The sequence below is a fragment of the Homo sapiens genome, chromosome 3 (assembly GCF_000001405.40).
Source record: "Homo sapiens chromosome 3, GRCh38.p14 Primary Assembly".
Classification (NCBI taxonomy): Eukaryota; Metazoa; Chordata; class Mammalia; order Primates; family Hominidae; genus Homo; species Homo sapiens.
Window position 1 is genome coordinate 161,083,883 of NC_000003.12, and position 27,821 is coordinate 161,111,703.

The 27,821-nt window shown below is 40.2% G+C and overlaps 1 protein-coding gene and 1 long non-coding RNA gene across 50 annotated transcripts, besides 2 other annotated features; one reads left to right on the forward strand and one right to left on the reverse strand.

The window, feature by feature from the left end:
- B3GALNT1 (beta-1,3-N-acetylgalactosaminyltransferase 1 (Globoside blood group)) lies at window positions 1-21,467 on the reverse strand. Of its 48 annotated transcripts, none has more exons than NM_001038628.2 (8): window positions 21,353-21,467; window positions 20,903-21,013; window positions 20,437-20,524; window positions 19,545-19,635; window positions 19,231-19,323; window positions 17,257-17,351; window positions 6,062-6,180; window positions 1-2,906 (listed from the first exon to the last, which is right to left on the reverse strand). In NM_001038628.2, exon 8 carries the CDS (start codon window positions 2,870-2,872, stop codon window positions 1,877-1,879), a length of 996 nt encoding a protein of 331 aa, NP_001033717.1. In that variant the 5' UTR covers window positions 2,873-2,906; window positions 6,062-6,180; window positions 17,257-17,351; window positions 19,231-19,323; window positions 19,545-19,635; window positions 20,437-20,524; window positions 20,903-21,013; window positions 21,353-21,467; the 3' UTR covers window positions 1-1,876. The 48 variants fall into 48 exon arrangements, with proteins under 48 accessions (NP_001033717.1, XP_047305089.1, NP_001336060.1 ...); XM_047449133.1 differs by lacking the exon at window positions 6,062-6,180 and adding an exon at window positions 17,563-17,749; NM_001349131.2 differs by lacking the exon at window positions 6,062-6,180 and adding an exon at window positions 20,076-20,223 and having other exon boundaries at window positions 19,545-19,632.
- Window positions 20,799-27,810, forward strand: LOC124909453 (uncharacterized). Of its 2 annotated transcripts, none has more exons than XR_007096146.1 (2): window positions 20,799-21,003; window positions 22,682-27,810. It is a non-coding gene; the product is annotated as an uncharacterized LOC124909453 (long non-coding RNA). The 2 variants fall into 2 exon arrangements; XR_007096147.1 differs by having other exon boundaries at window positions 22,689-27,810.
- Window positions 21,022-21,271: a silencer, noted in NCBI's record as "silent region_14863". NCBI's record gives its function as "represses an Ori minimal core promoter by ATAC-STARR-seq in GM12878 lymphoblastoid cells {active_cell/tissue: GM12878}" and the evidence as "EXISTENCE:reporter gene assay evidence [ECO:0000049][PMID:35858748]".
- Window positions 21,282-21,371: a silencer, noted in NCBI's record as "silent region_14864". NCBI's record gives its function as "represses an Ori minimal core promoter by ATAC-STARR-seq in GM12878 lymphoblastoid cells {active_cell/tissue: GM12878}" and the evidence as "EXISTENCE:reporter gene assay evidence [ECO:0000049][PMID:35858748]".
- Window positions 27,811-27,821: the final 11 nt, after the last annotated feature.

The following is a 27,821-nucleotide window of genomic DNA, read 5'->3' on the forward strand; positions in this document are numbered from 1 at the left end:
TTATAAAAAGTAAATACACAAACCGGTGTCATTTATTGTCATTATCAGTATTACATACTGTACATAACTGAATGTGCTGTACTTTTATACAACTGGCAGTGTAGTAGGTTTGTTTACACCAGCATCTCCACAGACACGTGAGTAATGCACTAGGCTATGACATTAAAACGGCTAAAACATCATGAGGCAATAGATTTTCTGCTCCATTATAATTTTATGGGACCACTATTGTATATGTCATTATGCAGTACATAACTGTAATCTTCTGCAAAACCAGTCAAATCTAACCATGCCACAAAAATAACTACCACCATCTGTCTTAAAGAACGTGACTCCTATATGGATGGAGATTAACAAGGGCATAGATCGATTCTATAGAATATTTCATTTAATTGATTTTATTATAACTGGATTAGGTCTGAGCCCTGGGAAACAGACATCACCTTGTTATACAGAATCACACATTATAGTTTTAACTGAAGTTGTTTTTCATATAGGACAATCATAAATATGAGTATTACAAGAGCTGACTACATACTTTCAAGTTTATATTTCCTGACAAAGGATATGACCTTTTTCCATCCTGTAATTCAGAGAAAAAGAACCACTTGCCCTATATAAACTCTAAAAAGAAAACTGCATAAACCCAGGAACAGGGGGCAAGGAGTGCTCCCCTTTGACCTACTATTAGCAGGTCCAACAAATGATATATCACCACGTCTATGAAGAAATTTCTTTCTATAAAAGCACAAAATTTAAATCGGATTTGACTTTACATATTAGGGCTTTCATCTTGATGAGAAACTCATAACAGCAGCAGCTCAAACTGATTGTTAAAAGGAAAAAACACAGGGCAGATTAATAATGCAACTTGGATCTTCACTCTTCTCTTTCCAATTCAAATGCTGGAATATGACACTCTTTTTATAATATTCTGCCCATGAGGTTCTCTCCCTTCTTTTCTGCCTTCAGAGTCCTTTCCAAAAGGAAATTACTGCCTTGCATTCTACATTATTCCTAATTTCCAGGTGGAAAAATGAGACAAATTAAGTGACTTCTAAAAACACTAGGAACTGTATTTTTTAAAAACAAGACAATACTTCAGATTTTCTTGCTTTAATTCTTCTCTATATTACCACAGTAAAATATTTAACAAAGTCCAAGAGATTACTGATATGCAATAATGACCTATGACTTTACATTAATGGAGTGATGTATCAATAATAAACTGATCAGTTAAGTAACTGGAAAATGTTTGCATGTAAAGAATGATTCACTATCCTTTTTATCTTGTATTGAAATCGTCAAAACATTTAAAAACACAAAGTTGAAGTAATTTTAAATAATAATAACTGTGAAATACTGCAACATCTTGAAGTACTTTATAAATGACCAAAAACAGGTAAAATTTTGTTCAGTATAACTTCAGTGAAGAAGTTTTTTGACACAGAACTACATATATTTTTAAATTGGTAATCCACATAAGATATACACAAAACCTTCAAGTGACTACATTGTTCAATAAATAAAACTCTACATTGTTTTGTTTTTACAGCCTAGTGAGCTTATAACTCAGTAACACCCTTTTAAGAAATTCTAGTCTACAGAATGACATGTCCAAATTGTTTGGTCCTATTAATTTCTTTAGCAAAAACCTCCAATTCCTTTATATTTAATTCCTCCACATATCATCTTTGAAGGGCCTGACTAATAAATCACAAGTGTAACCCTCCAGTCTCCAGTCTGGGTTTTTCATGAGTTTCAGTTCAGTGTAAGCCAGCACACTGACCTCCCCATGAATTTTCCACAGTACCTACTTTATTTAACACTTTCCACAAAGTATCCTGTCCTTCTAGGCTTTTTGTAGAATGTGAAGTTAATAATGGCATGTGGTGTTCCTTAGCATGACCTGCCAAAAAGTGATGATCTCCTTGGAAGAAAAGCCATGGGCTGCAATCACACGTCTCAGTTGACAGACATCCAAATGGATTCTATATAGAAAGAAAAGATTTGTGTCTTCTGGAATATGAATGTTCACTTTTAATAAATTCAAACAGATCCCGACATAAACATCTTCAAACTTGATGGGTTTTACGTGACCCATCATTTCATAGATCCTTGGCACCAAATCTCTGGACATTATATAACCCAACCCACTGCAGTATGGAGGGAACACCTTGAAAGGATACTCCTGGTAAGAAATATGGGTTTTTTGGTAAAATCCTCTATAGGAATAATTATCAATTAGAGGATAACCTGTGAAAAACTTCTCTGAGTGGTTTAGGTTTAAAAGATACTTCACTAAATTGCCAGTATTGATGAAAACATCAGTGTCTGTCTTCATTACGTACTTGGCATTGGGGCAAAACTCAGTTACCCACCTGAATGCCATAATGGTTTTCAAGGTCAGGTTATTATATGTGTCTAAAAAATCTTGTCGGATTATGTCACCATAAAGAAGGTGTTCATCCTCTAAGGACAATGCCAACATTTTGTCTTCCTTTTCAGCCTCTTGGCCTAATAAGAAAAATGTAAGAACCTCATATCCCCACCAAGACTTTTTTTCACCCCAAGTAACTCTAATGGCCTGCCTGGCTTTCACATCTGAAGGGTGGGAGGTCACCAGAATGACCAGAAATGGATTTTGATGAGAGCAGTTTGAATGCTCTCGAAGTGTGAAGTGAAAGTCTTGTCTGTAAATCGGCTCATACTCATAGAAGTACATCCAGTTCACGCGTTCTATCACATTGTAGTGGGGAAGGCTGAGGTACCACATCACAAAGAAACTCAGGAGTGACAGCAGCAGGAGGCTCCATTTGAGGGATCTCAGTGACATCCTACTCGGAAGGACAGTCCAGAGAGCCGAGGCCATCCACAGCAGCTCAGAAGCACGCGAGCCGAAGGTTCTGGAAGAGTTATCAAAGATTGGGTTAATATTCCACACCGAAAACACATTTTCAAAAGACATCTGACTATCTACTCAAGGAGAAAGAGTAGGAGAACAGAATCTCCAGAGTAAAACAAAAAATCCTGACTTGAATCTACTTCATTTAACTGTAAGCAAATAGAAACCAATAACCAAAAATCTATTTTAGCTTCTTACATCAAGACCAAGGTTAAAACATATCCTTTGATTATTTTGTAGTAGTTATCCTACTCTACCTAAATTAACAGTTTACTGTTAAATATAATTCTATCCTAGGTGCAGATATGATAGGGACAGAAAGAGATGGGTAATGATGGGTTAAAAAATAAATCTACCATAAAAACAAATAAATAAAATGTATCTCCTCTTTATAACTATAAAAAAAGAAGGATTTAATTCAAGGGGATGTTACTAGCCACATGCCCAAATAAACGAAGGGTCTTTCTCAGCTGTGTGTTCTGATACGGATTCTAGCAAATCTGGATAAGAAAAACCCTATAGTGATCATTATTCTATTCTTAGTGACTGCTGATGTGGGATAAGGCAGAGATTCTTCACCTGAAAGGCAAGTCCTCCAGACACAAATAGGATCATCTCTCTTGAGTTTTCAAACACTGACTATGAAACAGCTTTTACCTGCCCCAAACACCACCTCTCCCCTCCTTTTACCTCATTGGTTAAACTCAATGCTCAGTCTGCATAGCAACTGTTTAAATCAAAGGCCCGTCCTTAGTATTAAGTTTTCACATTTCCCATTCCAACCTCTTCAGAAATCACACACCCAATCAGAATCATGGGATGGAAACTCCTAAAACACTTGCTTTTACACAGAAGCTCCAGCTGAGACAAGAGGAGGCACAGAACATTCAGATTGTGAAGTGACAGCTCTGTTCCTGATCTCAAGGCAGAGGGTGGTTTATAATTCGGGATTCCATAGAGCTTTCCTTGCACCATGAGCATAGACTTCAGTCTAAGGGCATTCATGTATGTATATTTACTGGACATCTGCTTCCAAAGACCAGGCACTAAGGAGACCAAAGGAAGTAGGAGACGGGAGAAAGAAGAAATCCCAAGACAACGTATAAACATGGCAGCACAGTGCAGTACACACTGTTTACATCAAATGCTAAGGAACTTTAGCATAAGGGACAGATGAACAACATGAGGAAGGGTGGGCTGAGGAGGCTGCTGGCAGGTGCCCTTTTACCCACAATTATATGGGGGAGGGTTCTTGGAAAGCTGGAATTAACTATGGAGGACAGACATTAATGTCCTTATGGGAAGGCTAGTCTACCAAGGGTTCTACCTTGGGTCAACTTTAGGGTCTCTGGACATACAGCTCCTCTGTCTCTTAATACATATGAAAATAACAGGATTTCAAGGCTCCTTGTCCTCTTCATCTGGTCATCTCTTACCTGCCCTGATTACGTCTCACCACAATTATCTTTTCTATATGTAATGCTTTCCATATTTTAACCCACACAACGCAATGTAATGTTTTAGCAAACTCTCTCCAGTTTGGTTCCACGTATATGTGTCTTGCCTCTCCACTTACATTCTATGACCTTGTTGGCAAAAACAATTTTTCTCTCAGGAGTCAAAGTGCAAGACAAAGGGAGGCCTACAGCAGGAGTGCAATGGACACTGAGGCTTGATATGCTATCTCCATTTGTAAAAGGATAAAATATAGATCTGTCCACCCACCTCCTATCCTCCCCTATCCCCTTTACTTGCCATACACTGCCAATCCCAGAAAAAAACCTGAAATGGAATAGTTTGAGAGCAAGAATTATGAAAGTAATTAACACTGCCTTTATACGTTTTCTCCTCACCTGGCTACTGGGCACTACGCAACCCTTGAGGGAACCATTTACAACTCAGCCACTAACGACTTGTACATTTATGACAACAAATATCTCATTCTAACAAATCAGCATATTTCAACAGATTTTGGAAAAACAGAAGGCAAGTGTTGTAAGAGGTGCCATTTATAATTGCATATGGATGATGGGGGCCCTACTACTCTTCAATAATGGGAAGAACTTAAAATGGCAAATCTTATTATAAAAGTTATTTTTTGCACATTCTATAAGCCATAGTTTCTAAATGTGAGAATGTGACTATGGTTATGATGTCTATCATTTATGGACCCATGAATAAAATAAAGCAGCAGCAAAAAGAGGAGAAACTATCTAGTCCAAAAGCAAGGAACGGACTCTAAAGAACTGGCCAGAACAGACTAGGTCACCTACAACACAGGTGGCTCCAAAGCCAGCCACCAAAGTCCACTCTCCAGCTCTGTCCTTTACCAACCAGGATGAATGGGTATGTTATGTATCTCTTGAAGCCTCAGTTTCCTGTCTCTATATTGAAGATATTAATATAGTGCAAATTAGTGATAATATATGCAAAACTTCTGGCCTGTGTTAGGTATTCAACAAACAGAAGCTGTTATTATCAGCTGTGGTTCTACCCTTGGCATCATTTCCATTCTATTTGTGTTCTCTAAAATGATTCTTACTGTCAAAATAGATTATCCTGAAAAGGAGGGAGGGGCAAAAAATTTTTTCATGTGGTTAAAAAATGTAACTAAAATACTAGGTAAAAATGACATGATGGCTACAAAAAGATGTTTCATAGGAAAAGTAAAATATGCTAACATTCTTAGTATATTTTAACAAAGAGATATGAATAAACCTTCACATTTTGCTAAAAACTTCATTTAAGAATGTACATTAACCTTTACATTGATCACTGAAAGAACAAATATAGAACACTATCTTCCAAATTGATTGAGAAATAGAAGACACAAATTAAGTTATCTGTCTATTCAATATAAGGTAGGAAAACGGGAAATAAAAAGAAAAAATGCATGCAAACACAAAATGCAAAAGATGATGGCAGGAATAAATATAAATGTGCTGTTAATTAAGGTAAATGTAAATGTAAACTTATCTACTAAAAAAAAAAGACTCTCAGGCTGGGCATGGTGGCTCATGCCTGTAATTCCAGAACTTTGGGAGGCCAAGGCAGGCGGATCACCTGATGTCAGGAGTTCAGGACCAACCTGGCCAACATGGCAAAACCCCATCTCTACTAAAAACACAAAAATTAGCCAGGCATGGTGGTGCGCACCTGTAGTCCCACCTACTTGGGAGGCTGAGGCAGGAGAACTGCTTAAACCTGAGAGACGGAGATTGCAGTGAGCTGAGATCCTGCCACTGTACTCCAGCCTGGGCAACAGAGCAGCAAGACTGTCTCAAAATAAATAAACAAACATCATTAATAAGGGACAAAGGAGATGTTATTACTAACAGAAGAAACCATCCAAAAAGATACTTTATCATAAAGCTCTGTAAGAAGAAACCATCCAAAAAGATAATTTAACAATCATGAAGCTCTATAACCATAAAAACACAGTATCAAAATATATAAAGCAAAACCTGAAGAGTATGGGTATAAATGGGAAAACTTATAATCCTAATGGGAGATTTTTAATACATCTAAGTAACTGATACATCAAGCAGATAAAAAAGGATATGAATGTTTCAAATAATATTATTAATCTTGATCAAATGAAACATTTAGTACCTTTCATCCAATAAAAAGAATAGAAACATTCATTTTTAAGACAACATAACACATTTAAAAAGAAAACTAATAATATTAGGTAATACAAGCCTTCTCAACAATTTTAAAAACAATAATACAGGCTACATTCTCTAACCACAGCATAATTATAAATCAATTGCAAAAAATATGGAAAACACTTAAAAAATTTAAAAACCATAAAATTTCTTAAAAATTTGTTTAGAAGCCCAAGGTGGGTGGATCACGAGGTCAGGAGATTAAGACCATCCTGGCTAACACGGTGAAACCCCATCTCTACTTTAAAAAAAAAAAAAATTGTTTAGAAGCTCAAAATCCTTATATACACAATTTGTTTCATCCATAAATTTAAAGAGAACACCATATCTGCACTGCACATGAGCAATGTAAAATGTTTCAACTCGGTAGCTACTATACCAATCTCTTACTTGAAAATTACTGGGATGATGGAGGAAAGACAGCATTTTTTATTTCCTGCTTTAAAGAATCAATCATCTATAGTTCAGAGGAAGCAAATAGCTCTAATTGAAGAGAAAAAGCTCTTCTTTATAGAAAAATGCCACTTATAGGCTGGGTGTCATGGCTCACACCTGTAATCCTAATGCTTTGGGAGGCTAAGGTGGGAGGATCACTTGAGACCAGGAGTTCAAAACCAGCCTGGGCAACATAGTGAGACCCTGTCTCTACAAAAGAATAATAAAATTAGCCAGGCATGGTGGCATGAGCCTGTGGTCCCAGCTACCCGGGAGGCTGAGGCAGAAGGATGGTTTGGGTGTGGGAGGTCCGGGCTGCAGTGAGCTGTGATTGTGCCACTGCACTGTAGCCTGGGTGACAAAGCGTGACCGTTTCAAAAATAAATAAATAAATAATTTAAAAATTTTTAAAAGAAAAATGCCAATTAGAAATGTCTAGAAATTACCCCTGCAGTTTCCTGGCCCATAGTTTCAGTTATCCACAGTCAACTACAGTCTGGAAATATTAAGTGAAAAATTCCAGAAATAAACAATTCATAAGCTTTAAATCGCGCACTGTTCTGAGTAATATGACAAAATCTCGCACCATCCTTCTCTGTCTCAGGTAGAACATGAATCCTCCCTCTTCCCAGCGTATCCACACTATATATGCTACCCACCTGTTAGTCACATAGGAGCCCTCAGTTACCAGATTCACTGTCATGGTATCTCAGTACTTGTGTGCAAGTCACCCTTATTTTACCTAATAATGGCCCCAAGGCAGAAAAGTAGGATGCTGACACTTCAGATAGGTCAAAGAGAAGCTCAAAGTGCTTCCTTTAAGTGAAAAGGTGACCTTGGCATTCTTTGGGTAGGGTGTGGTACTATCATGGTTTCAGGCATGTTTGGGGGACAGGCTGTTGAACACAGCCCCCATGGATAAGCAGAGACTACTATAGATGGAATGACAGAATAAGAAAACTGTCATTTTGCAATCTTTCATGAAATTACTGATGATGATTATACATCAGAGTTTTGATAATAAATAAAAGGTTGATGGACAATTGGCTATCTGTATGATGCCAAAGTAACACCACGAAGATTACTTTTTAGTTGCAAGAACTGAAAAAATATAAACTTTACATTGGAGGATCAGGGTGTCACCATTCTAACCCAATAATTAATCGTAACATCATAAATGATGGAACAAACACCTATTATGTATCTCCTAATGAGATACAATGTAATGTTTAACTGGAATCTAATCAAATTTTACAAGAAATACAGAGGATAGAAAGAAAAGCTAAGGAACATCACAAGAAAGCAATCAAATCCATAAATATATGTCCATAAGATAATAAATAAAAGTTGGTATGTCTTCCAATGGAATCCTATATGATAGCTAAATGAATTGGATTTGTATACAGAACATCAATTTAACTCTCAGAAATAAAACGTTGAGTATAAACAAGTTACATAATGATATATGTATAAATTATCATTTATAAAAATTCTAAAACTACACACAAGAAGTGATGAACCTTTAGAAGCAACTACGTATAAATAATGATTTTTTTCTAATGGGACTACAGGAAAACATACCACACCTATCAGCAGGAAGAATGAAAGGAACATGTGGTTAAAGGGGGAAAAAAACACTGGTCATAAATACTGTACTGTAATTAACAGCTGCTAATTCAGGGCGATGGAAATATAGGTGTTCTCTAATATTTACAGTTTTCTTTGTATATTAAGTTTATTAAAACAAACAGGAAAAAAGCATAATAAAAATGCTTTGGATATCAGAGCCAATCCACCCTAAATCTTGACTGCAACAATGACTAGTTGTATGACCTTAGGCATGTTAGTTACCTTCTCAAAAGTTTCATTTTTCTTTTTTTTTTTTTTTTTTTTTGAGATGGAGTCTCGCTCTGTCGCCCAGGCTGGAGTGCAGTGGTGCAATCTCGGCTCACTGCGCCTCCCGGGTTCACACCATTCTCCTGCCTCAGCCGCCTGAGTAGCTGGGACTACAGGTGCTCCACCACGCCCGGCTAATTTTTTGTATTTTTAGTAGACATGGGGTTTCACCATGTTAGCCAGGATGGTCTCGATCTCCTGACCTTGTGATCCACCCGCCTCGGCCTCCCAAAGTGCTGGGATTACAGACGTGAGCCACCGCACCAGGCCAAAAGTTTCATTTTTCAGCTATAAATCAGGCATCACAAAACTAATTATTGTGAGGTTTAATGGAAAGAACTTGGATTAACCAGTCAGCACAGGGCCTGGTCCAGGACCAAGAGCACTTAATGGTTTCTGAATATTCCCAACATAAAGAAATGATAAATTTTTGAGGTTATAGATATCCTGAATTTCTGATTTGACCATTACACATTTATGCATGTATCAAAATATCACATGTACTTTATAAATATGTACACTTATCAATCAATAAAAATATTTTTAAAACGATACTCAGGCATGTAGATAAATAAGGGCTCAATTGAAGTGGCCTCTGTGTTCATAGCATGTGTGTATCATAGAAATCAAACTGGCCAGAGATCTCGGATTGGCTCATTTCCTGATAGTGAGAGCACAGGGCAGCTGGCCTGCCTCCTTAGGACAGCTGAGCAGTGGGCTACAAGGACCCCGACACTGTTCTAAATCCCATGTCCCAGGGGAGGGACGGAGAGAAGAATCAACAATATTGACGAATAGAAAACAATATGAAAAGCCCCAACAGGGAAGTACACTATTATTTTATTACTGACTTCTTAAATGCCACACATCACTGTCAAGAAAGAAATTATAACTTAAAAATAATTTCCATTTTCTAAAAGATAAACTTGTGGCCAGGCACTGTGGTTCACACCTATAATCCCAGGACTTTAGGAGGCTAAGGCGGGAGGATCGCTGGAGGCCAGGAGTTCAAGACCAACCTGAGGGAACAGTGAGACCCCATAGATAAAAAAAAAAAATTTTAAGATAAACTTGTGCTTATATTAACTACATATGAATTTGCCAACTATAAGCAATTTCCATTAAGCAAACAGTATCTTATCTATCCCACCAACTTAGTGCAATGCTGGGTGAACAGCAAGCCACCAGTAATTACTTGTTGATTTAGGGGTTGATCTGCAGCAGCTGAAAAAACATCTCAAATACTAGAAAAGCTCAGAAAACCTCCAAAGATAAAAAAGGTTATCAGTTTCCAGTGTTGTAAGTGGTAGAGACAAACTCAAACAAGACTCCAGATCTCACATTCTTGGCTGCTAGATCCCAGGGAGTGTGCTGCCTGCTCACTATGCTTCCTATGCTAAGGAGCTCTTCTGACCAGAGCTGCTTTGAGTTTTAATTTCTTGCAACCATTGAACTTTGATATAAACAGTATGGCAGCATCACAGCCTTATCATTTTCACAAGGAAGACTCAAAATTCCTACCCTTAAAACCTGAAATACAAATTTTTAACAAGAACAGTAACTAATTGTTCATGCAGATATACACCTTTTTATTTAACACCAAAAACATACTGGACGTCACTAGAAAATAAATGGAGGTATCAGTGTTTAAATGCAAAGATTCCAGGAAAACAGACAAACAGAGATACTACAATGGCACAATTATTTAAGCCAAAATAACCTGAAACTCTTTCCTGGGGTGCAAAAATGTTGGCTATTTCCTGCAAAAAGAAATCAAATGTAATTATTTAAAAAGTAATTATTCTAATTTCAAATGTAATATATGTTCATTAGAGAAAATTTAGGGAATGCCAGAAGAGCACAGAGACAATAAAAGCTTAAAAATAACAATATTAACATTAAAAAAAAATTTAGAGATGTGTCTTGCTATGTTTCCCAGGCTGGACAGCAGTGGCCATTCACAGGCACAATTATTTTGCACTGCAGACTCAAACTCCTGGCCTCAAGTGATCCACCCCAGTAGCCAGGACCACAGGCATTTGCCACAATGCCGGGCAACAACGTTCACATTTTTTATGAAGATCTGTCAAGTCTTCTGGCTCCATGGGTTTATATAAGCCCCTCTTTCATCTGCTACAACTACTCCCTCCCAATCCTATTTCAACCACAATGGCTTCCGTTCTTTTTTATTCTTTTAATCTTTTAATTAAAAAATATATAAATATATAGAGATGGGGGTCTTGCTATGTTACCCAAGCTGGTCTCGAACTCCTGGACTCAAGCAATCCTCCCACCGCAGCCTCCCAAAGTGCTGGCATTATAGATGTGGGCCACCAAACCCGGCCTGACTCCCATTCTTATCCCTGAATATGTCAACTATTTTCCTCTCTTGCAGAGCCTGCACTTACTCTGCCCCTCCAACCAAAAAGCTGGTTGTTGGAAAGGCTGGCTCCTTCTCATGCCTCACATCTCAGCACAGTGTCACTTAGGAGAGTCCTTCCCTGACCCCTTATCTCAAGTAGTTCCCCCAGCACTTATTTTCTATCACATCCCTCATTATTCCCTTCCATAAAGTATATGAATGTGCTTTGGTTAAGGAATAGGCTAAGGCGAATATCTGGGCCAAAGTGACTTAGCAAGTTTAGGGCACAGGTGCATACTTCACTTGTTAGATAACCTGTCTTTGTAAGTTTATACTTGGCTTTGAGTTGCTATTGTTTGTAAAAGGTATAACTGCCCTGCTGATGCTGCCCATGGGGTTTGGGTTGGCTTGACATGGCTTGGAGGTGCACTAATGCCCAGAGAGAGTAATGCTACTGACCCCTGTAAGGAAGAGTGGATTGCCTTGAAGGCGGGAAGTGGGGACTTATGCCCAGAGGGAAAAAATTAAGCTGCTAACCCTGGTAGTATAGGCCAGGGAGTGCAGCTGCAAGGCTGGGGGCAGCAGGAGCAGGCTCATAAGAGGAGCCACAAAGCTGAAGCAAACAGCCAAGATAAAGAAACTGTGAGAAACAGTTAGTGTGAGGAAGCTGCTGATTAAAAAGCTGCTGAATAAAACTACATTTCACCTGCCTAAAGCCCCCCGAGTGTTCTTTCAGCAATTCGCCCATCCACCCACTCCCCTCGGACCTCAACTGGGACTCAAACCTAACACCTTGTTGGACCTCAGCTGGGACTTAAACCTAACACCTTCTCAGCATTTAACCCTGTCTAGACTTTTAAAAATCTATTTCTATTTGTTTATTGTCTATTCCCTTCAAAAGAATATAAGATTGGAGAGAGGGAAAACCTGACCCCACTTATTCACTGCTATATGTCCAGTGTCTAACACATAGTAGGCTCTCTGTAATATTTGCATACTTTGCAAATGATTTGGTAATGTACTTTTATCCACTTAGTAAATATTCCTAAGAATAAGCTGAATCCAAAAGTAACCTGAATTTGTTGATTATGTTTTTCTTCAGCTGTCTTCTAATAACAAAACCTTATTGTAATAGGCTATGCTGATTCTGATCATGTGCATTTTAAAAGGTCCAAAAAAACAAGAAACAAATTTCAGTTAAATTTTAGGTCCAAGCACGCTAGAGTCAGGATCATCCATATGCTAACTATTATAGATAATTACCAAACTACTGTCAGTTTTGCAACATTCTAACTTTTCTTCTACATAAAATACTGCAAAGGGAGTGGAAATCTTAATTGCCTAAAAAAAGGTCCTGTGCATATTAAGTTTAATTCAAATCATCATTACACCAATCATGTATATTCCTTATAAAGGGAAAATAACTATCAATTCACATCTTTGAGGGAAATTCCCCCACTACCCTTTCAAACTAAACACATTAACTCATAAAGCAATATAAAACTCTACCATTCAATTAGACTTGTCAATTAAACATCTAATTATTTTCACAACTCACTGCTGCTTTGTGTTTGAGGCCCTCCCCTGATTATATTAGAAATAAACACAACCAGTGCCATCTGACCACTACTTTTTCTTCCCCTCTTCTTTAACCCAGTGGTTCTCACTTTGCGGCACATTATAATCTCCTGGAGAACTTGAAAAATACTGGAAGCCAAGCGGGATCCCAGGCCAACTAAATCAGAGTTTCAGAGGGTGGCAGGGCTCAGGTGGCAGTAATTTTAGTATACGTGCTGCCAAAGCGAGCACCAGGTGGCAGTATTTTTAAAGCTCCCAGGTGATTTGAATGTGATGCCTAGACCCTCACCACTCAAAGTGCATGGGCACCACCTAGGAGTGTATTAGGAATACAAAGCCCCAGGCCCCACCCTAGACCTAGTGAATCAGAAACATTTTTAACAGGTGGCTTGTGGACATACTGAAGTTTGAGAAGCAATGAAATCCACTTGAGCAAATTACTCAACCTTTTTAAGCTTCAGTTACCTTATCTGTAAAATGGGAGCAATAATACCTTCTTTGCGGGTTTATTGCCAGAGCTACATGAAATAATACGCGCTAAACATCTAGGATGGGGCTGGCACACAGTAAGGGCTAAGTAGATGGTATTGCTGTTATTATTAGAGTCCACACTATATGCTTCCTCTACATATATTATTTGTCTACATTTCCTTTACAAACCTTGCTCCTAACTCCCAAATGTGTCTTACATGGCATGACATGCTCTGTAATACAATTAAACATGCAAATAAATCTTAGTGGATCCACCTTCTCCTTCCAAATCAGTAAGTCTTCTCCTAGAGTCCAAGGTTTCTGTTTTCCTAGAATCTCCCAGTGCCTGATGTTCTGCTATCCTGCAAATACGAGCCCCAAAGAACTACTGGTAGAGGTCCACAAAGCCAAACGCACATTTCTGGGTTCCGCCTCTGCACATGTGCTCCCCTCTCCTGGGATCCTTCTTTCTGCCCCATGGTCTTTCTACAACTGAACATCATTTTTTCTGGGAACCACTCACACTGTCAAAAGTCTCACCATAGGCACTTGTAGCAGCTGGAGGAGAGCTGCAAAATACAAGAAATTTTTCCAGCTGTAGTGCGTGTGATATTCAAGTGGTGTCAGGCTACTTTGAGGATTGTGCATATTTGATATGGTTTACATTTTTCTCCTTACTTTGGAGCATACAGCTGGACATATAATAGGAAGTGAAATTTTATTTACTGAATGAATGAATAGCAATTGGTATATCTGCTTAATTTGATAACACTTAAAAATGAAATATGCTTTACTCTGTCAGGGTAAATAGGCTCACATTAAAAAGAACCTGCTTTCTACTCTATCCAATTTCTTCATACTCCCCTCTCTCCAAAATTTTAGCAATAGTCCTTGCTTGGTCCTGGCACTGTAGTAAGTATGTTTTATATTTCCATTCGTTTGATGACTGCCGCAATCTTATGAAGTAGGCACCAATATTATAACATTTATCTTTCAGTTAACCAGCTTGAAATTTGGACACCTGTTCAGGAGTCAGGGTGTCAGAGCCTGCAAAGCAGCACTAAAAACTCAGGTATATTCACCACCCCAAGTGGAGTCTGTAGCCACTGCACTACAAAAGCTTCCCTCCTGCCTTGTTTTATCCTATTGGCCTGGTATCTTCATACTTTCACAGTGCAGCACCTCTGTTCTTCTTCAGAGGTGAAGAGTTGTCAGAGCTCAACGAGAAACTTTTGGCCGGGCATGGTGGCTCATGCCTGTAATCCCAGCACTTTGGGAGGCCAAGGCTGGCAGACTGCTTGAGGTCAGGAGTTCAAGAGCAGCCTGGCAACATGGTGAAACCTCATCTCTACTAAAAACACAAAAATTAGCCAGGCATACTGGTGCATGCCTGTAATGCCAGCTATTCGAGTGGCTAAACCAGGAACTTTAAAGAAAGGGAAGTTTAGTCCAATTTCCATGCAAATCATGCTCACCCAGTTTTCAACAAGTCCTCTCCAACAAGTTCACTTTTTGGCAATGGAGAAATTCCTGAAGGGACTAATGTTAATGCATCTGTATTCCAAATAACCCTGAATAAGTTGCTGAGACTCTGTAAACATTAGTGAACACTTATGACACAAACACAATGACCATCAGGAGCTAGAAGAGATTCACTGAGAATGCTCTGTTTGACTATCCTAAGCCCCATTTTCAATAGGGTTCTTCAATAGAAGATCAAGGTAACTCGCAGGTAACACCTAAGAATCAAGCTTCTCTGTAAAGAGAGCTGGACACTTAAAGTCCTTCTGAACAAAATGGGAAAATGTGAGTAATAATAGTAGCTAGATGGCTTAAAAATTGGCTGATCCATCATAGCCAGTGTATTTTTCATGCAGTCATTTGTTCAAGAAACATTTCTTGGGCTTGTGCTGGACTCTGGGAATAGTGTTCCACAAAAGTGCCAGAGACTTGTCCTCCTGCTGATGTTCTAAGGTTGACTGGAGCATCTTTGTCAAACTGGGGAAAAAAATCACAGGCCTATCTTTAGCCTTTTCTCATTTCATATTTCTAATTAAAGAACGTGGGCTTATTCAATTTTGTAGGCAGGAAAAAAAATGACAAATTCATTAAAAGATGTAATTACAATCCAAAAGGTTTTAACAGGTGAGAAAAAGCTAAAGACAGCAAGATGAAATTTGATGGGAACACATTTATTGTCCTATGTCAGAGTTCGAAAAACCAGCTGCACAAGGGCAGGATGGGGGGCCATTTTAACAGCAGCCTAAACAGACCTTACAGTTTAGCTGAGTATGAGTCCAATATGATAAAAGGTGGTGAAGTAAAGGAATAACTGGGCAGTCAGGAAACAAGGATTCTAGTTCTGGCAGGGAGGCCAAGTCATTGAATTTGAGGAGTTATTTCTCAACAGAATTTTAGGACATTGGGCTAGGATACCTCTCAGGCACCATCTGGCCCTACCAGCAGAGGGATGATGTTCATTCTTGCACACTGTGTCCCCAGCACCTAGCATAGTGCCTGGCACATAGGAAGCACTCCCAAGTACTTGTGAATGAATGGCAGTGCTAACAGAAACTCTACAAGTGAATACTAGATTGTGTCCCCCTTCTCTAACACACACACACACACACACACCCCTAATACACTCCTAGGTTCAAGAAACTGGAAAAGCATCTGGGCAAAGGGGGTCATAATTCCATAGCCCCATATGAGTTCCATTTTGAAAGGGTCACTAACAAGTTAGAAGAGGGTAACTCATTTGGTGAAGGGTTTATCATCTCCCATAAGGATTGCATGACATGTGGCTGAAGGATCTGGGGATGTTCTGTTCTGGAGACAAGAAAAGCTTAGAAGTGCCATGGTAGATACTTTCAAATTATTTTGAATAATAAAATATGTAAGTATCACTCCAGAAGGCAAATGAGAAACCAAAGATAGTGTTATTCTAACAAACGTCGAAGGTCCCTTCTAACTACAAGGTTCCACAACTTTGTTATTGATGTTTAAAATGTAGTTCATAGAAAAGGTTTCATTTTGGCATATTTTAAATTGTTCAATTTTTAAGAATGAATTTGAAGTATTTACTGAGTTTAAGAAAAAAGCCCACCTCGAGCACCACTCTCTGTAGTTGTCACACAGTTTTAGGTAGACAGTGAGTATAAATACCTATACTCATTACCATTTCCCAATTCTGCCCTTGAAACTCTGCTGGTTGTAGCACCACCACCCTCAGGTATCTTCTAAGATGTATGGGAGAATGTCTTTCATTAAAGCTTCATTAAAAGGGAAGCCTGCTGCTTCATTCAGTGTGCTGAGGTATAAGACATCTGAGTTTTTAAAGACACATGTAAGTAAGACATATTATATATACTGTTATACAAACTACTTTCTTGTAGGCAAAACAATCCCTGTATATGGGAATCTCTGATAGACTTCTGGGTTGTGGCATGCAGAATCTTTTAGGGATTTCTGGGTTTGGGCTGAGAAAAATGAGGAGCAAACAAAAGCAGCAGGACTTTAGAAGGAAAATTTAGCCGCAATTTTCTTTTTGCTTCTGCCCTATCTGCATATTCCAATAAGAACATAAAAATCACTCTTAATAATTTGCAATACATGTTAGGATTTTTAGCAGGGCTGTTTTTTTTTTTAAAGGCATAGTGAACTTCTGGGCACTATACAAGTTTATAGTGCTTCTAACTACAAATTACAAAGCACATTTCATGACACTGTAAAATCTGTGTTAACATCAATCCCATTTTCCAGGGAACAGTGCAGCCCAGGTAGAGGAAGACATGGAATCCAAACTCAAGCCCTTCAACTCCAAATGCCAAGCTCCTTCTGCCAGGGCACAGTGCCCCAGGAGAGACCAACCTCACATCTAATCTCACAGCCTCCTGAGATTCCTGGGCAGGGAGCAAAGAATGCAGCAGAAGCAGACACACCTTTACACTCGGGGTGAGTAGTCGGAGAGCACCACGTGATAGAGCAGCCAGCGGGAAGAGCCAACAGGTCAACCGGGTCCAGGGAGCTAAGAAAACTGGAGCAGAGCAAAGATCACAAAGTCAGGCAGAACAGCAGCAAGACTGCCCTGAAAGCTGGGCTTTCTGTGTCTGTTTTGTTACAAAGAGCTTTATCCACTGGAGGAAGAGTATCGGGGAGCTGCTGCAGTTAACATTTCTTCCCATTACTACCCTAAATTGAGAATATTACAGCTCTTTACTATTCTTCTTAGTTAAGCCATCAATTACCTTTGCTTTAGTCATCTGAGGGTATTTCATTCCTTCATTCAGTGTTCTGGACCTGTGTTAGAGGTTGGGGCAGCAGTGGGGAAGCAGACAGACAAGCCCTGTCCTCAAGTTGCCGACACTCAATGCAGAGCGTGGTGGAAGACTCACAACGACACATTTCACACCAAACATCATGAGTGAGGCCCACCTAGAGAACATGGGGGAGGCTTTCCAGCTCAAATGTTTCTAAACTAGTGACCAAAATCCACAGCAGGGAACTGAGTTTGCACTCTCAGAATGTGTTAGTGCCCAATAGAGGCATAAATTTAGAGCCTGTTATCAGTATGGAGAAGGGAACTATTTAATACTAAGAGATAAAACTGGACGGTAATTTTTTATCTTAGAAAGTGCGTAACTCCATTCTCAACGACAAAGTCTGTAACCAAAATAGCAGCCAAATACAATTCCAGATATGAGATATGGTTTGAGCCCTATGACATGCTGCAGGAATAGGTGGCTGCAGGCTTGTGAAATGTTTTAACAGGAGGACTTGTGTATTCTAACTTTTATGAGACTATTCAAAATGCACAGCTTGAGTTTAGCAGAAATCCATGTTCTATCCCAGAAGCGGGCAAACTTTTTTCCCCATAAAAGGCAGATAGTAAATATCTTCTTTGAGGGCCCTAGGGTCTGTCTCAGCTACTCCATTCTGCTTTTGCATAGAAAGTGGTAACTCCATTCTTGAAAACAAACTCTGGAAACAAAATAGCTAAATATAGTTCCAGATAACAGACACAGAAAGAGAAGCAACAGACAATGAGATCCTACCTACCTACCTGTGTTCAGAGTCAGAAATACATGGGGTGGGAAACCGATAACCTACTCTAGCTTTCTTTTAGTTCCTTAATGTCTCAGAGATTCAAGGAGTGCAGGTTATCTCCCCAGCCAAATCTCCCAACCTTCCAGCACTTGGGGCCCTACCCTACAGATGTTCTGTGGCTTCATCTTCCTTCCCCATGCTGATGCGCCCCCTACAAACTGCCGTATTTCTAGCTCATCCTCTCATCTTCCCCTAGCCTCTAATTCACAATATGCCAAAAGGACTGGTAACAAAAGCAAATCAGTATTTATAATATACAATTTTTTATTAGTATAAAAGCATTGTCCATAGTCCCAAGAGAGATGTTTGCCAAACAGCCTGCTGTTAAATGAACTGTAACTTTTGAATGTATCTGTTGTGCAAGGTCATTAAGAGTATCCTGTTTGATCCCACGTGCTTGACCCCATCCATGTGGCTATCTACCACACAGTGGGAGTTTACCCCATAGCGAGCAACCATGATCCATCCTGTTAAAAGCTTCTTTGGTCTGGACATGATATAGTTGTGAAAGGGACAAAGACATTTCCCAAAAGAGGGTTCTACCTGCATCATCCAATGGTGGATGGAACAAAGCTGGAGGCTGGGCACAAGAAGAAGAGACATCATCCATCCAAAGGGGAAAGAGAAAAAGTACTCAATGGAGCATTTTCTTAGGCATAAAGGGAATTGAGTCAGAACTTGAAGTTGAATATGACCCACCAAATTAACTTTTTATAGTTATTGGGTTTTCCTGAAGAACCATGGTATTTTAATAATTCAATTTTTTAGAAAATATATATATTATTAGAGCCGGGTGAGGTGGCACACACCTGAAGTCCTCGCTACTCTGCAGGCTTAGGTAGGAGGATCATTTGAGCCCAGGGGTTCCAGTCCAGCCTGGGAAACATAAAGTGGCCTTGTCTCTATTTTTCAAGCAAGAAAAAAGAAAAAAATATATTATCCAAAATGGCTTAGTAGAGCTTCACTCTTGAATTTCTTCAAATCCTCTGATGAAAGAATCGTACTAGAATATACAACAAACTTCGTGGCTGCATCAACGATACTTAAAACCTTGTAAAGGGCATTATTATGGGCATTTTTAACCAATTAGGATAATTTATAAGTTAAAAGTAGATGAACTTACCTGTGGAATTCCAGATGAAATTAAAGCTTAAGTTTTTTGTTGTTTTCTGTATTCCATGCTTAATTAAAACACTCAGATCTGTTGTGAACTACTGAACAGAAGAACAGAAAAAAATATATATGAGTCATAACATTAGGAATTATGACATCTAAAATCAATGTTGTATACTTAGCAAGTTGTTTTTGGAGCCATTTATTACATATCAACACTTTTTTCATTTTTGGAAAAGCCTTGATCCTCTCTTCTCGCTTTCAAATCACCTCATGCTCTAATCTGAAATTATACTTGGACACTGTTTTTTTGTTTTTTGTTTGTTTTGGAGATGGAGTCTCACTCTGTTGCCCAGGCTGGAGTGCAATGGCACAATCTCGGCTCACTGCAACCTCTGCCTCCCGGGTTCGAGCAATTCTCCTGCCTCAGCCCCCCGAGGAACTGGGATTTCAGGTGTGTGCCACCACACCCAGCTAATTTTGTATATTTAGTAGAGACGGGGTTTCACCACGTTGGCCAAGCCGATCTCGAACTCCCGACCTGAGGTGATCTGCCCGCCTCGGCCTCCCAAAGTGCTGGAATTACTGGCGTGAGCCACCGCGCCCGGCCTGGATGCTGTTTTGACAACAGTGTTTATTTTCAGGTCTGGAGTTATCCAATGGCCATTCATTTGAACGAACATTTTAGTCTATGAGGGGAAAAAAGTCATAGTCTCTTATCTGTTAGTAATAAACGATTCTGTTCTCCAGACTGATACGCGTTCAGTAATTTGTGCTTTTATCAGGCATCGACACATGCATACTAAGAGCACAAATTCAGCGCCCTTCTTTTGCTTAAGCCTCCTGGGAGAAGCTAAAAAACTTGTTCCCAGTTGAACACTGCAAACCCAAATTTTCCTTACCTCTGAAAACAGAAAAAAAGACATGGTTTGGCAATTTCTTCCTTGATAGCTTTTCCCACAACGCAGCCACCTCCTAAACGCAGGCAATCTGTGCAAAACGCAGAGGAAACAAAATCATGAAAGCCCTGCAAATCTCCCTCCTAAATCCAACATTAAGAAGGCGAACGGATACTGAATTCAAAGACTACCCGTACTTGAGGATGGCATCATTCCTTACTGCTTGGAAAAGTGAGACTCCGTTGCACCTCTAGGAATCTTTTTAAAACGCCCTGTATGTTCCTTAACACTGCCTGTAGGAATCCTGTAGCCCTAGCCCCGTGGGATTTCCTTCTCTCTCCGCCCGTTCTCCACATTCCCCACTTAGTTTCACATTCCTTCCCAATCCCTCCGACATCCCTGCGCCGGGGCCCTTCCCTAGCGCTCCGGGAAAGCGTTCGCCGCAGGCCTGTTAGGGGCCCACCAATACCGTAACACCGTTCCCGTCCTCTTCCTCGGCACCGCTGCAAACGCCCCGGGTCGCTACCCGGATTTGACGGTGGCTGGAGCGGCACGGGCGACGCAAGGCAGGTATTGCACCCTGGGGCAAGGCAAGGTGGACAACCAGCGGATGCGGCGCGGCCGCGGCCTGGGCCTGGGCCCTCCGCGTCGCCCACTGCCCCACTGGGCCCCTTCTCCCGCGCTCACCGGAGGCGGGCAGCTGCTCGTCACCGAGACCCGAGACCCACGGTGCGGCGGCTCAACCTGGGCCACGCTCCGCTCTAGAGGAGTGGGCGGTGCCTCCCGGCCTAGCTGCCGGGGTCTAGGCGTTTCCGAGGACGGCGCGTTCCGGGAAAGGCGGGTCCGGTGGCTATACCCTCCACCCAGTGGCAGGACTCAACCGCCTCGGAGACCCTGCAGGGCCGCCCTTCTCACTCACCTCCTGTGCTCGGCGCGCACCCAGCTCGGAAGCGGGAAGGTGGCCGGCGTTCTCTCCCTGCGCACACACGCAGCCTCCCCGCATCCGCACGCACGGCCGGGCGCGCGCAGACCACGCGCCAGGGCCGCGGCCGGAAGCCCCTGGCTGCACGCGCGGGCCCAGGCGGCCCCCAGCCCTGTGAGCTCGCATGGCGCGCCCTCTGGGTCCTCGCGGTCACCTTGCATTCCGAGCACGGCCGTGTTATGTATGCCTTTAGTTGATGCTGGCCAAAATTAGACAACTTAGTGGCAGACGTCGAGCTAGAATTTTTGTTTGAGATCCTTTTTCCCTGGTCGTCTTTCCAAACTGCGTGAGTGCATGGCCTCGAGGCGGCCCTGGAGGGATTTTCTTGTTAAACTTCATACAGAACTAATTAGGAAAGAGGAAATCTTAGGAGGAGTTCTTTGCTGTCTCAGAAGAAATGCCAGTTCTTCTTCCGGAATCGATGGGGAATGGAATGGGGGTAAGAGAGACACGTCAGGTTTCAATGGCCTGTGTATGGATGGGAGTCCCAGGGAGTTGCTTTTGTACACCTGAGCATAGCTGACCTAAACTCCCAGATCCATCTCCTCAAACTCCTTTTACCAAGATGTGCAGTATTGATTGTACTGGTCCTTTCCTCAAAATCAAGTGGGTCTGGATCATGTATTTAACCACTACCAAGCTCAGCCATGAGCACCACCCCTGATTGTAACCCACACATTTGCATCAAGACTAAACGTGGCCCACCATTTCTTTTTGTTTACTGACTCTTTGGCCTGACTGCTTCTTCCTTATAGCCTTTTTCTGCAAAATTACTTAGGATAGTTTGAAGGTTCTCTGAAAATAATAGGGGTGAATATAGAGATCAAAATGGATATACAACAAAAGTAAGTTTAGATAGTAGCAGTGTAAGTCAAGGACTTAGTTGACACTGCATAAATAATCAGATCTAAATTATAATAATCAGATCTAAATTATGGTTGAGATTGTTTTCCTGGTTCCAGCCTTGGCAGGTAGCTGTGTCCTTTGCAGAGGGTAAAGTGATTGCTGCCCTGCTGCACGCCTTTATCACAGCCATTCTTCACCCTACCTGGGCTGACAGTTCACCTCACTAAGTCAAGGAGGTCCATTAATAACAAAACCAGACAGGTTTCACTGCAGATAGATTAATATGCTGAAAAAATAGACCTCTTATTTGGAAGAATGCTTTAGGGCATTAATACTATATTTTACAAATTCCGTTTCTTAAAATTTTAGAAAAGTTGTATTTCAATACTCATTTTTAAAATGTTTTGAATGTCCTTTGAGTAACCAGCAGGTATATGTGCTCATAGCTGCCAAAACTTCCCTGGAATGCAAAGCAGAGCCATGGACAACAGATTGGGGTAAGAAATTCTCCTAAATGAAGTAAGTGAGACAAAAAGGCCCAAAACCTTTATGAGATTATTTCCTTTGAAGCAGTCTCCTTTTTCTTTGTGTAGCATTTATCAGCTTGTGATTGAGTCATCTATTGCTGCAGATCGAACTCTCCCAAAATATAGTTGCTTGCAAAAATGTCAATTTAATATTTCTCATAATTCTGAAGGTTGGTTATGTGGTTCCTCTCTGGTTTTGATTTGGCTCACTCGTATAGATACATTCAGCTGTAGCAGGGGTTGGCCAAGTTTTCTGTAAAACAGGATCAGATAGTAAATATTTTAGACTTTGTCTCTGTCACATATTCTTTTTTATTTAATTTTTATAAACTATTAAAAACCCAAAGCTATTCATAGCTCAAGGGCCATACAGAAGCAGGCTATGGCCTACAGGCTGTAGTTTGCTGATCCCTGAACTGGAGAATCAGCTAAGCTGAAAGTCCAAGGTGGCCTCACTCATGTGTCTGCTGTTGGCTCCATGTGGCCTCTTATCCTGCAGTAGGCTATGTTTTTGGTCTGTGGGCAACATCCAGAAGAGAGCAGGCAGAAGCTGTAAAATTTCTTAAGGCCTAGACTTGGGAGTCACACAAGATCATATATGCCAAATTCTACAAATCAAAGCAAATTGTGAGGCCTCTCCAAATCCAAGGGGCAGGCAAATAGTCTCTGCCTCTTGATGGAAGGAGCTGCAGATAATGTGGCCAGAACTAGCTAAACTAAGTGGCAGGAACCTTATTCTTGAAAGTAAATCATCAAACTTCAAATTTATGATATCTGATGGCAGCTATTGTTCTTACTCACTTCTCTCCCCAAACTACCCAAACCTGTTTATAATTCTGTGAGCACTCACTTGCCTCAGAACTTGTTTACAGATGTCTCTGCCATGAGATTATCAGCAACCTGAGGGAAGAGACAGGCCCTACCGCACTGCCTTGCTGTAATATATCTTCAATAGATATATATGGAATTTAGCTGAATAGCCTTACTGAGGTTTAAAGTCAGGTTATTTGCTTACTTCACAAAAGCAAAATAAATTTAAGTATCCTGCACTATCTACAAATTCCAGAAGAAAAGCACACATCAAAGAGTTATATGTCACACTCACATACCATCTGACCAATAAGATGGAAACCTTCCTAGCAATTTTCCGAACATATAATCAAGAGTTAGGAAGCCATATGCCTAATGATAAGTTTGAACTAGCAGTCACCTTTAAGGCTATATTACATTTTAACCTTAAATTTGTCTGCAGATGAAAATTGAAATGTAACAACAGTTCTTTCGTAATATGTGCTATATATGTTTCAAGGCAGATGTGGTTCTGGGCAGGGTTTCTAATCTACAGGAAATGCTTCTACTAATTGTTCAGTTGAATTTTTCAATATGTGCCTTCTCCAAAATCTGACTGTGACTGTCTTCTTCCACTTGATGGAAAGCTTTGACAATTTATTATGCTTAGAAGCAGCTGGGGTGTATTTCTAATTGATGATTTGTTATATTTCTTACTTGACTATCCACATCTTTCATTCTCTTCAGCATTTTCCTCCAGCACTTCCTGTCTTACTGAATTTGATATATGACACTGCCTTTGTGCAAATGTAGACAATATCTTCAGCCTTCTGCCTCTGTCCTTCAGATTACAAATACATGCGAGAGTCATGCTAGTAACACGTATGTGACACTTAAACATTAATACAGTATATTCACATACACTTTATCAGTTGATTATTAATACACCAATACTGTGGAGGTGGATACTGTCATTACTATCATTTGGCAGGTAGGGAAACTGGCGAACAAATGTCTCAGAGATACCTCAAACTTAACATGTCTAGGCCAACCTCAGTACCTTCCCATAAAATGTGCTTATTCTCCTGGATTCCTGATTTGTATAAAGCAGCTCCATTTATCACTCATCCAAGTTCAAATCTCACTTCATCCTTCTTTCTATTCCACATGTCCAGTCAGTCACCAAGTCCCTGTGGATTCTCTCTCTTTCTCCCTCTCCTCTCTGAGATGCCTGCAGCCAAGAAAGCCTCATTCTTCATTTAGGTTTGTATCAGAGCTTTCTGTCTGCTCCCTTGACTTCCAAGTTGCCCATCAGGTCCTTCAGATTACCACTAGGCTGTCTTCCTCAAACCCAGATCTTGTCAGGCATTCCTATTTTAAATTGGTCAGTGACTTCCCACAGGGCACAATCCAAAGGGCTACAGAACCTTTTGTAATCTACCTCAGCCTACCAGCTCCTGCCATGCATGCATTTTCATGCACTGTCATTGTGCCCACTGTTACCTCAGAGTACAGTTTTATTCTCTGAGTCCCTCCATCCCAGAACCACACCCATCTGACTCATCCAAGTCCCACAACCACTATAGTAATGCTTCTCAAACCTAAATGTGCATAGGAATCACTGGAGAATCTTATTAAAAGCAGATTCTGATTCATTAGGTCCTGGATAGGGCTGGAGATTCTGCCTATTAACAAACCAACTGTGCAGGGCACGGTGGCTCATGCCTGTAATCTCAGCACTTTGGGAGGCTGAGATGGGCAGATAGCTTGAGCTCCTGAGTTCAAGACCAACCTGGGCAACATAGCAAAACCCTGCCTCTACTAAAAATACAAAAATTAGCCTGGCATGGGGGCGTGCATCTGTAGTCCCAGCTACTCAGGAGGCTGAGCTGGGAGGATTGCTTGAGCTTGGGAGGTCAAGGCTGCAGTGAGCTGTGATTGCACCACTGCACTCCAGCCTGGGTGACAGAGCAAGACCTTGTCTCAAGACAAAAACAAAAACAGACAACCCACCAATTGGTAATAGGATACTGCTGGTTGTTAGGCTGCAATTTGAGTAGCAAGAGTCTAGAGCTGCACTGTTCAATAGAACTTTCTGCAATGATAAAAATGCTCTTAGGTGTTTTCTAATATTGTAGAAACTAATGACATGTAGCTATTGAATACTCGAAATGTAGCTAATGAGACTGAGGAACTGAATTTTAAATTTTACTTAGTTTAAGTTTCAGTAGCTACATGTGAGTAAGTGGCCACCATGTTGAACAATGCAGATGTATAGGAATCCCTTTCATCCTTCAAAACTCATTCAGACTTCTGGTTTTCAGTCCAGCATGTAAGACCTTAGAAGTCACCATTCCATCCTAATAACAAGTAAAAAGCTAAACAAACTTAAAAATACTTAACTCTTTGTATATTTTTTGGAAAAGTGAGGTTATGGGGCAAACTGCATTTCCCAAACTGGAGAGACAGACAGGTAGATACAGAGAATTACAGAATTAAAAGAAAAGAAAAAAAATGACATTTTGAGCTGGACAAATAAAAACAAACAACAAAACAAACAGAAAATACAGAGAATTATAACTTATCAGAGCAGAAAACCATGAGCTGAAATCTCTACAGGAACCAGTGCTGGGGTAGGAAAACCTAAACTGTTAAATGATGAATTGCTAGAAGTTCTGTGTTGGCAAGTCTGAGAGTTAAAAACTTCAGGGGGACCTAGTCATGGTGGGTGGAACCCATACTTTTAGTGTGTTTTAACTCCTGGAGTTCTACCAGGTTCACACAGTGAATATCAGAGAAAAACCCCCCAGTGCTTCCGGCGGAGGGAGGAGAAAAGAAACCATTTTGAAATGTGCCAGAACATTCTGTTCTTAACAAGAGCTGCCCTCAGAAGAAAGTAGCTAAGTGGAACCTAGCCTGCTGGGGTTTTATCAGAGCCTAACTGACCTGGAGGAAGGGAAATACTGAACTCCATTCCCTCTAGACTTCCACATATGAGAAGGGAAATACCCAAATCCAGCCCATTCTAGCTATCCTATCCTACCTAACATGTTAGGGGTGAGTATAGAAGTAAAGAACTGAGAGGCACTTGTGAAGTTCATGATCCAGAGGCACAGGCTCACTAAAAGACTGAGACCTAATCATAGGACTATAGAATGCTCCCCCACCTATACATACACCTTACCATCACATTACTAAAGGAACATCACAGCAATTTCTTTAACCCAGTACATTATGTCCAGTTATCAAGAAAAAATTACGAGGCATACTAAAAGGAAAAACACAGTTTGAAGAGACAGTACAAGCATCAGAACCAAATTCAAGATATGGTAGAGATGTTGGTATTAGACCACTAATTTAAAATAACTATGATTAATTTACTAAGAGCTTTAACACATAAAGTAGATAGCATGAAAAGACCAATAGGTAATGTAAGCAGAGAGATAGATAATTTAATAAGGTACCAAAAAAGATGGTAGAGATCAAAAGCACTGTAGCAGAAATGAAGAATGCCTTTGATGGTCTTAGTAGACTGGACACAGCTGAAGGAAAAAATCTCTGAACATGAAGCCATCTCAATAGAAACTGCCAAAACTGAAAAACAGAAAAAAGACTGAAAAAAAAGAAAACCTACCCAGAACAGAATATACAAGAGCTGTGGCTCAACTACAAAAGGCGCAACATGTGTAATGGGAATAACCAAGAGAAGAAAAAGAGAAAGAAACAAAAGAAATATTTGAAACAATAATGACAAAATTTCCCCTAAATTAATGTCAGACAGCAAACCACAAGTCCAGAAAGCTGAGAGAACACCAAGCAGAATAAATGTAAAAAACACCCACACCTAAGCATAATGTATTCAAACTACAAAAAAATCAAAGATAAAAGAAAATTCTGAAAGAAGTCAGTGAAATAAAACCCACCTTATCTATAGAGGAGCAAGGATAAGAATTACACCTGGTTTTTCCTCGGAAACCATGCAAGCAAAAAAAGAGTAGAGTGAAATATTTAAAGTGTTGAGAGAAGCAAACAAACTGGAATTCTGCAACATGTAAAATTATCCTTCAAAAGTAAAAAAAAAAAAAAAAAAAAAAAAAAAATTGAGGGAATTTGTTTCCAGTGGACTGCTTTGGAAGAAATGTTAAAAAAAAAAAAGTCCTTTAGAGAGAAGGAAAATAATAGAGGTCAGAAATTTGGACCTGTGTAAAGAAAAGAATAGCAATGGAGAAGGAGTAAATGAAGAT